The following is an 11,024-nucleotide window of genomic DNA, read 5'->3' as shown; positions in this document are numbered from 1 at the left end:
TTCACACCTGGCTACACGGATCAGAGAAGGATTTATAGAAAAGGTTTGTGTAGACCTGAACTTTGGAAGCATGTTATATTTGAAGAGGCAAAGATCTAGGGTGGGTGGGGAGCTACAGGTGCCCTTTCCAGAAGGGCAAATTCATATAAGCTTGGACAGGATGTGTCTGAGCACATCAAGGAAGTCCAGCTTCTCTAAAGGCCAAGCTATGTGATGGGGAAAAGCTGGAAGGCAGCCACAGAGGGCAAGTTTCCAGGACCTCATGTGGCAGGGGATATGGCTTTCAGAACATTTGAGGACCAGAGAAATGGAATCTAAGGGTGGAGACCAGTGGACTAGTGAGGACTTCACTGTGGATGTCCAGACCAGACCTATCTAGACAGCATCCAGCAATGTGGGAGATGAAAAATAAAATAAGTCTTCTTTTTTATTGATTTCAAACTAGTTCTGAGACTAGAAGGCAGTTATAATGTTACAAAGCCAATTACCACCTTCTTTTTCTGTATAAAATATAGAATCAGAGTGACTGTATAATCACAAGAGGTTGATAAAGGGCATAACACAATATCCAATGCAGAGTAACTGCTGACACCTGGCAGTGACAGTGAAAATGATGATGGTGATGATGACAGTATTGTGGAGATGGAGATGGTGATGGTGGTGAAGATGCTGATGATGATGCTATAGCAGCAGTGGTGATTCTGGTGATGATGATAGTAATGGTGGTGATAGTGATGGTGATGATGGGGATTGTAGTGGTCATGTTGGTGATAATGGTCATAGCATGGTGATGGTAGTGATGATGGTGGTGATAATGTTGGTGATGGTGGTGATAGTGGTTATGATGTGGCAAAAGTGGGGATGGTGATGGTGGTGGCAGTAATGGTGCTGGCGGTGATGATAACGGAGATGATGGTGCTGATGATAGTGATGATGGTGGTGAGAGTGGCGGTGATTATGGTGATGATGGTAATGAAGACAGTGATGTGGTGATGATGGTGGTTATGGTGGTCATGTTGATATTGGTAATGGTAGTCATGATGATGATGGTGTTACTGATGAGGATTACCATGGTGATTGTGGTGGTAATGGTGATGGCAATGGTGTTGGTGATGGTAGTGATGATGATGGTGATGGTAATGGTGGTGGTTGTGGTGATAGTGGTGATGGTGATGTTAGTAGTAATACTGATGGCAATGGCAATGGTGTTGATAATGATGGTGATGGTGGTTGATAGTGATAGTAATAGTGGTGATGGGGTGTTGATGATAATGGGGATAAATGTGCTGATGGTACTGAGAGTGATGATGGTGATGTTGGAGATAATAATGGTGACACTAGAGATGATGTTTACAACAGTGGTGGTAACGGTGATGGTGATGGGACAGTGGTGATTGTCATGATGATAATGGTGATGGCTTGGATGGAGATGGTGGTGATATTATGTTTTATGAGAGAGGATGAATCTGTTTGGAGCAGAATGTAAGCACCAGGCCTGACCAGGTACCAGTAAGAGAGTTCTACTCTCTAGAGATTTATCAGGTCGGTACACAGGTAAATCTTCTCCTTAGACTCCTCATCTTTGATGGAAAACTGTGTCTGTCACAAATGGATCACGTGTCCCTATTTTTTTTTTTTTTTTTTTTTTTTTTTTGAGACGGAGTCCCTCTCTTTAGCCCAGGCCGGATTGCAGTGGCATAATCTCGGCTCACTGCAAGCTCCGCCTCCCAGGTTCACGCCATTCTCCTGCCTCAGCCTCCTGAGTAGCTGGGACTACAGGCGCCCGCCACCGCGCCCGGCTAATTTTTTGTATTTTTAGTAGAGACGGGGTTTCACCGTGTTAGCCAAGATGGTCTCGATCTCCTGACCTTGTGATCCGCCCGCCTCGGCCTCCCAAAGTGCTGGGATTACAGGCGTGAGCCACCGCGCCCAGCCACGTGTCCCTATTAACCGCAGGAACAAAAGTAGATTTTCCCTGGCATTCATACCTCTGACCTCCAGAAGGGACCATGAGCAAGAAGGAGATGGGAGATGGGTAGCTTTAGTAAATGGGGAGAGGAGGAAGAGAGTGAACAGGGAGATAAGCGGAAGGGGGAAGAGTGAAAGAGAGGAAAGAAACCAGACTTGTCCCCAGAGTTGTCCACATGTTCATCACCCACCCTGAGAGAGTCCTTGTCTTCTGAGAGGGTCCATTCTGGGCCTGTCCAGCAGGGGCTGTGGGGACAGCTGCAGGAACAGGAGGCTATGCCATCTACTGGCCATGGCTCTGAGCAATAAAACCCTGCACACCCAGGTAACCCAGAGCAGCAAGGACAGAGCCAAGCAGAGGGGCCTCTGCAGAACCCATACAGCACTCAGGGAGTGTTTAGTTTGTAGAGCTTCTTCCTTCAAGGCAGACCCTATGTCGACCCCAGGGCCACCTGCAGAGCCTGCTCCCCAGGGTGAAGCTGGAGTAGAGGGACCTGAGGGACTGGACATCAGTGGGTGAGTGCTTCCCTCTGGTGGTCAGTGTGGTGAAGTGGAGGATGCAGGCCCCACCTTACAGAGGTTCTCTGCAAACTCATGAACCCAGCAGGATTTTTAGGTCAGGTGGCTGTGGGCAAAGGAATTGCCCTGTAGCTTTTGGTTTCTCTGCCGCCTTGCAAGATTCTCTTCATGATGTCTTCATCGTCACATGTCACATTTCAACATATTGTCCTCTTCTTTATCGTGAGGTTGGATGATTGCCACTCTGTGAGCCTCTTCCCACCTTAGTTCCCGTCAGATGCCCTCTGTCTCTCAGAAATCAGCCACCCACCCTGCCTGCCAACTCTGATACAGCCCAGGATCCCTCTCAGACACCTTCCAAGCCATGGGTTATAGACTCTGGGTTCCTGTAATCCATGCTTTTTTAGATTAAGAACTGCTAATGTTGATTTTCCAAATATGGTTGGCAAAGATTAAAATTGACTATCATTAATTCATAATGGAAAACCACGTGGCATTGCCCCAAATGAAGTCCATGATCAAAATTGAGAGATTCCCTCCCCTGCAAGCTCGTAAAACCTGAACCTCCAGGCTGGATCCAGGGAGTAGCATTTGAGATCCACACTCCTACATGCATGACATCCCAAGCCTCTGTGGGAACAGCTCTGGATTCCTCTCCAAAGCGCCAGCCCTGACAATCTGCTCATCCTCACCTCTGCCTTGGCTGAGTAACCAACCTGTGACTTACTCAGGCCTGGGCTGGAATTCTGTTCTTTCCTCCTCACTGCGCCCTCTACCCAGCCCTTAGCAAGTCCTGCCCCGCCACCTCTCATAGGCATCCTGAGTCTCCTGTGCTCCACCTCCCAGCCACTGCACAGACACAGGCCACTATCCTCTCCTTCCTGAGGAACTGCAATGTCCTCCTGACTGTTCTCCACCCTCCCATTCTCACCGACTAGAAGCCTGTTCCTTCCCTGTGGTCACGCCAGCCTTCTAACAATACAAAAGGTGTACTGTCATGTCCTGGTAAAACCTTTCAAAGGCTTCTCATTTCACTTGGAGTAAAACAGAAATTCTTCAGCACGGTGTGAAAGGTGTGGCAGGAATTGATATCTGCTCATCCACCAAACCCAGTCTGCTTACCTCTCCTGCCGGCCGGTCCCTCACTCAATTCAGGAGCTTCCACAGGTTAGGATCATTTCCAGCTAGGGATCGGTTTATGATTTTCTTTGCATTAAACACCCCTCTTGTTGGCTTTCTGCAGCTGGCTCTTTCGCCTCCTTAAAAGTCTAGCTCACATGTTATTTCCTCAAATCGATCCTTCCTGATCCTTCTCTGCAGTTAGAATTTGGCTTGGCCACCAGTTTGTTGAAGGCAATATTGTATCCATCTCATTCTCTGTAATGTGTCTGTGCTTCTCACAATCTGTGGAATGTGGAGGACACTCAGTGTGCATACTGGATGAACATGCCTTTGTGGATGTTTCAGAGACTTTCCCACTGTGTATAAAATGATTCCATGTGGATAGCTTGCTGGCAGCCCCCATGAGGCCGTGATGACTCTAAGACGACTTGTTAGAACTGCCATTTCAATGGCTAGAGTTTTAATTACTTTTGGATCTTTTGAAAAATAGTGAAATCTTAGCAGGAAATATCAAAGTGCAAACGAGGAAGGATAAGAAATGACCCTGCGGAGGGTGGCAGGAAGCACAGGGTGTCCCAGAAGAAGAGTCCTGGAACCCAGCCAGCAGAGACCCCACCAACAACACTGTCACCCTTTCTCCAGGGCTTCTCTGTGCCAAGCAATTTGGCAAGAATCTCTTACACATCATCATTTTGTTCTTCACATATTCCCAAAATATAGAGAGATTCTTTTTCTGATGAGAAGATAATTCCTAGCATACAACAGGCACACCATAACCTTATTTTGAAGGAATGCGTACAGGTATCCTACATCCACTCTTAAGGAGAGGAGATCGCTGGAGAGTTCCAAGATTCCAGGCAGAGCTCAGCAGTGATGAGATCACAGTGTGGGGTCTGACACTTTTTGTTGCAGGTTCCTTGTCTGAAAAATGTGGAAAACACATTTTATAAAGATTGTTGGAGAATCCTTTCATTCACTCAACTAATTCCTTACTGAGTCCTGTGCTAGGGCTGAGACCACAGCATTGAGCAAGTAGACAGTGTTCCATGTGCATGGAACAAAGGAGGCAGAGAGGCAATGGCACGGCAGCTGATAGACACCCCCTTCTTTCCTTCTCAGCCTGTGATTCTCACTAGAAGAGGGTGCCTTGGAGTAGGTTGAGCCCACTGGTAGGAAGCACAGGAGGTAAAGTGAGTGCATCTCCAATGTGATGCTACCCTAGGAAAATGCCATGGTGCTGCTGAACTCGACAGTGATAACAAATGCTGCAGTGGGAACCCAGAGACCTCAGAAAACAGCAATGAGGGCTTCCAGGGGAACACAAGAGCTGCTGAATGGAGTGAGCCATCAGGGGACCCGTAGTGGGCAGCTCTCAGGCTCCTGAGGGATTGGTGCCTTGTTCAGGTGCATGCACACACACAATCTCAAACACACATACACAGTCTCATGCAATAGTGTACTACTACAGAGAAAACCAGCTGTATAAATATTTCTTAGTAATGAATTTCCTCAAAAGCATGAAATTCTTTATGTTCATGGAAAAATGTAGAAAAACTCCTTGCAGGGTGCAAAAGATCTAAAACAGTGTTTGCAAACTGTTGCACACAGCACAAATGTGGCTATGAGTTAATACATGCTCCTAATTACATTTTCAAAGATTCCTCGAAAAATACATTGAAATTATTCTGTATACAAAAGCCTCCATTCAGAGATAGCAATGCACATTAGAATATTCATTAAAACATAAAATACTTGCGATAAGAATCTGATTAATTCTCTTCCAACTTTCCTAGTCGATTCTGTTCCTCATGTTCTTTGTGTTTTGCAGGGAAAGGCTAACACGTATCAGCAACCGTGAGAGTGCCATGTGAAGATAAATTTGGAAACACTGATCTAGAATAATGTTTCACTTTCTGTGAGTTCTAGTACACAGAAAGCAAGTAAATATATTGATGATAATGGAATTAAAGTTGATAATTGTCCAAGAAAGGAGCCACAACTATAGAAAGGAGGGGACTGGAAAGAATCTCATTGCTTTGGGTTTGGTGTCGATATTAACTCAGAGTTTTTAATACATAACTAGGTAATAGAACAATAGCTATCTACACGTGCGTAAGTTTTTTTGTGTGTTTTTTTTAGCACTGACCAACAGACAAGGCCAAGAACAAGGTTCCTCACCTTCTGCACTGTGGCCATTTGAGACCTAGGAATTCTTTTTCTGGAAATGTCCTGTGCATTGCAGAATGTTGATCAGCATCCCTGTCCTCTCTCCCTAAATGCCGGTAGCACCTGCCTTACAAATTGGAACAACCAAAGACACCCTAGACATTACCAAATGTGCCCTGGGAAGCAAAATTGCCCCAGGTTGAGAACCACTGACTGAGGCCTCATGGCATTCCAGGAGTGGTGAGTACAGGGAGCACGCGGGAATTGCTTTCTACATTCACTGCAGATTCCAACCACTGATTTTCACCTTGGATCAGAGAAAGTAAAATATAAATCCGGAACTTCTTGTTTTATCAGAAAGTAAGGATAGGCTCAAATAATGATGGAAATATATTAAGAGGACACAGGAAGCAGCTTAAAGGGGCTCCCACTAGCCTAATCTAATGTAATTTTCACATTCTAATAAGCAAGAACAATACATTCTAACTCCCTGAGTAAAATAAGAAACCATGAGTCAGATAGATCTATAGAAAGATATATGACTAACAGATATATGGATAGGTAGGTAAAAGGGAAAAGTGTTTCCTTGCAGTAGAATGAATGTCATTTATAAGTATTTTTTTAAAATGCAGTTAGGAATACAATTTGAAAGCAATCATAATAACAATTGATTCAAACAGGAATTATTATTGTATGCTAAAGCTAGAAAGCAAAAGTGAAAACTTTATAAGACATAAATAAATGTTTCAAAGTATTGCTCCATGAAATAATTCTTAATTATAAAGGAGAGAAGAGTAAACCATACTGTGCAGATAGCTGTCAGATACCATCTGAACCTAGAGATCAAAGTTAGTGTCTATCAGCCGTGGGACAGCGTTGTTATGGCCTCCTGGTAGGAGGTACTGGGAGAAACAAGATCATATTTACAGTTCTCTGAAAACCTGCATAGCCTGAATCTCATCCATTGACAAAGCCCAGCTGAGGACGTTCTATGAAATCGCCAGTTATCTTCAAAAATGACAAGATCACAAAGATAAGAAAGACTGAGAAACTGTTTCAGATCAGAGGAGACTGAAGCTGCCTGACAACGACACACGGTTGATGAATTGCATGGACGACAGATTAGACGACAATGTGGACCCATGCTAGTGCTGTGATTCCACTCACTGCACTGAAGCTGTGCTGGAGAATGTCCTTGGCCTTAGGGGACACACATGAGAATGTCTAAGGACAAAAGGAGTCACACCTGCAACTTGCTCTGAAATGGCTCGGGAAAAGCTGTAACAGTGCGTACACATATAGAAAGAGGGAAAAGCGCGCGAGACACAATGTGAGGAGTGGGAGGGTCTGGGTGTGTACAGGAGCTCTTTATATTACTCTTGCTGCTTTTTGTAAGTTTGAAGTCACTTCAAAACTACAATAAAAAAAGGTTTATTACTTCTTTTCTAATGAATATAGAAAAATAAAATTGCTTCTTTTTTCTATATTTATTAATGGCATTCTTTTTACTCCAAGGAAGAACTTTTCTCCTTTATCTGTATCTATCTTTCCATCTCTCTATCTGTTAATCATCTATTTATCCACAGATCTAGAAGACTCATGGTTTCTTATTTTATTCAATGAGTTGTAATCTGTTACTATCACTTATTTGAATGTTTAAAATATCTCAGAGTTGAATAGTGAGAGCCCCTTTAAGCTGTTTCCTGTGTCCTCCTGACGTACTTCCATCATCTTTTTATCTTTTATAAAAAATTAAAAATTAAAAATACAGTAAAGTGCTGCCTCAGCATTGACACCGCAGCCCCACCCATCATGCACAGGCCTGTGTGCTCAGCTTGTTGGAACACTGTACTGTTCCTTGGAGCAGAGAAACAGGGTGTGAGACGGCAGGGACTGGCGCACTGGAGAGAATGCATGGGCAGAGGTTGAGGAAGAAGCGCCCTCTGCTTCCACCAGACGTGTTGCCTCACAAGGGACAGCCATGTTCCCCACCACTCACTGTACCTGCACCTCCCTCTGCAACACAGGGGGGTCACTACTGTTTCACAGCCGCCTTCTTCTGTTTCCTCCTGGGTTTTCACCATAAGCCCCCTCTCCCACATGCACACCCCCACCAGCATGGGCCTGTGAGTCTGGTACCACATTGGCAGCAATAGGTAGAGTTGGGAATGGAGGTCGGAGGGGGTAAATTCTTCATCTGGAGTAACACAGTAATCAATGGATCACAAATTATAGGCCTAAAAAGGACTCTCTGAAGCCATGGCCTTTGACCTGCTCATTTTTATAGAGAAGAAAAAGAGGGCCTGAAAAGGGAGCTGTCCGCACTTGGAGGACTCCTTAGAAGCCAACACTTCCCAGACATCCCAGGAGGGGACAAAGGAGACAGAGAAAAGTCAGCCTTGATAGCGGGAGTTCAGCCAATCACTGCCAGCACGAAATCCACCAGCTTCCTGGGCACATATGTGCCATGTCACAGCAGTGTTTTTCCAAGATTCACGGGGGTGTGGCAGGATGGATGGACAGCTGGCTCCCTCACTGGAACTAAAGTATACATCCATGCCCTCTGCCAGGCAGCTAGCAGCGCCTCTGTCCAGGAAATGCAGAGTAGACCCCCATTGCCGTTGTGCATGGTCATGGGTCTTGCTTGGCCCATAGGATGTTAACACATGGGACAAGCACAGAGCCCTTAACTGGCATGTGTGAGAAGCTGGTCCTCCTGCTCTTCTCTGAGCCTCCATGAGAAGAACTTGGCCCAGACGGGCACCACCCCTTCAGCATGGGCCCCAGCATGAAGACACAAGCCAAGCCAGCACCAGACCCCCTGACCCCCAGCCAATGTGCAGCTGGTAGAGCATGACTGGAATAGCTTGTTGGTGTCAGCCCTTGAGCAGCCATTGAGTTCCAGATCTTCCCTCTGACACAGCTTACCCAAGTGTGAAGGAAACCAAAAAAACAATTCTGGTAGTATGAGAAATTCAGGTTAGTTAACACCCCAAAAAATTACATCAGCTCACCAGCCATGGATCCAAACCAAGATGAAATCTCTGAATTGCCAGAAAAGGAATTCAGAAGGTCAATTATTAAACCCACCAAGGTGGCACCAGAGAATGGTGAAGTCCAATTTAAAGAAATTTTTAAAAAAGATGCAGCACATGAATTGAAAAATCTGTAGTGAAAATAGATGGAATAAACAAAATATAATCACAACTTTTGGAAATCAAGGACACACTTAGAGAAATGCAAAATCCACTGGAAAATCTCAGCAATAGACTCAAACGAGTAGAAGAAAGAACTTCTGAGCTCAAAGACAAAGTTTTCAAATTAACTCAGTCCAATAAAGATGAAGAAAATAGAATTTAAAAATAAACAAAGCCTCTCACAAGTTTGGGATTGCATTAAATGGCCAAACCTAAGAATAATTGCTGTTCCTGAGGAAGAAGAGAAATCTAAAAGTTTGAAAAACATATTTGAGGGAATGATCATGGAAATCTTCTTTGGCCTTGCTAGAGATCTAGACATACAAATACAAAAAGCTGATAGAACCCTTGGGAAATTCATTGCATAAAGATCATCACCTAGGCACATAATTATCAGGTTAACTAAATTCAAGGTGAAGAAAAGAATGTTAAGAGATGTGAGGCAAATCATCAGGTCACCTATAAAGGAAAACCTATCAGATTAACAGCAGATTTCTCAGCAGAAAACTTACAAGCTGGAAAGGATTAGGGTATTTTCTTTAGCCTCTTTAAACAACGACAACAAAAATCAGCCCAGAATTTTGTATCTAGTGAAACTAAGCTTTATAAATGAAGGAAAGATAGAGTCTTTTTCAGACAAGTGTTGAGAGAATTTGCCACTACCAGGCCAGCACTATGAGAACGGCTAAAAGGAGCTCTAAATCTTGAAACACATCCTCAAAATATACAAAATAGAATCTCCTTAAAGCATAAATCTCACAGGACCTATAAAAGAATATCACAATGAAAAAAAAAACAAAAGCACATGGTTTTGAGGCAAGAACTAGCATGATGACTAGACATCTCACTTCTTCGTGACCACAGCAAGTCATGACCACACCAAACTCAAAGGAAGAAGAAGGACCATTGTCTCTTGCACTTATGAGAAGAAACTGATCCTGGACTTTTTTTGGTTGGTAAGCTATTAATTATTGCCTCAATTTCAGAGCCTGTTATTGGTCTATTCAGAGATTCAACTTCTTCCTAGTTTAGTCTTGGGAGAGTGTATGTGTCGAAGAATTTATCCATTCCTTCCAGATTTTCTAGTTTATTTGCATAGAGGTGCTTATAGTATTCTCTGATGGTAGTTTGTATTTCTGTGGGATCAGTGGTGATATCCCCTTTATCATTTTTCATTGGGTCTATTTGATTTTTCTCTCTTTTCTTCTTTATTAGTCTTGCTAGTGGTCTATCAATTTTGTTGATCTTTTCAAAAAACCAGCTCCTGGATTCATTGATTTTTTGAAGGGTTTTTTGTGTCTCTATTTCCTTCAGTTGTGCTCTGATCTCAGTTATTTCTTGCCTTGTGCTAACTTTTTAATGTGTTTGCTCTTGCTTCTCTAGTTCTTTTAATTGTGATGTTAGGGTGTCAATTTTAGATCTTTCCTGCTTTCTCTTGTGGACATTTAGTGCTATAAATTTCCCTCTACACACTGCTTTGAATGTGTCCCAGAGATTCTGTTATGTTGTGTCTTTGTTCTCATTGGTTTCAAAGAACATCTTTATTTCTGCCTTCATTTTGTTATCTACCCAGTAGTCATTAAGGAACAGGTTGTTCAGTTTCCATGTACTTGAGCAGTTTTGAGTGAGTTTCTTAATCCTGAGTTCTAGTTTGATTGCACTATGGTCTGAGAGATAGTTTGTTATAATTTCTGTTCTTTTACATTTGCTGAGGAGTGCTTTACTTCCAACTATGTGGTCAATTTTGGAATAGGTGTGGTGTGGTGCTGAAAAGAATGTATAATCTGTTGATTTGAGGTGGAGAGTTCTGTAGATGTCTATTAGGTCCACTTGGTGCAGAGCTGAGTTCAATTCCTGGGTATCCTTGGTAACTTTCTGTCTTGTTGATGTGTCTAATGTTGACAGTGGGGTGTTAAAGTCTCCCATTCTTATTGTGTGGGAGTCTAAGTCTCTTTCTAGGTCTGTAAGGACTTGCTTTATGAATCTGGGTGCTCCAGTATTGGGTGCATATATATTTAGGATAGTTAGCTCTTCTTGTTGAATTGATCCCTT

At 43.5% G+C, this 11,024-nt stretch overlaps 1 annotated feature.

The window, feature by feature from the left end:
* Positions 2,417 to 2,586: a silencer, noted in NCBI's record as "silent region_12735". NCBI's record gives its function as "represses an Ori minimal core promoter by ATAC-STARR-seq in GM12878 lymphoblastoid cells {active_cell/tissue: GM12878}" and the evidence as "EXISTENCE:reporter gene assay evidence [ECO:0000049][PMID:35858748]".

Source organism: Homo sapiens, chromosome 20 (genome assembly GCF_000001405.40).
Source record: "Homo sapiens chromosome 20, GRCh38.p14 Primary Assembly".
NCBI classification, from domain to species: Eukaryota; Metazoa; Chordata; class Mammalia; order Primates; family Hominidae; genus Homo; species Homo sapiens.
This window is presented reverse-complemented; position numbering and strand designations above follow the sequence as displayed.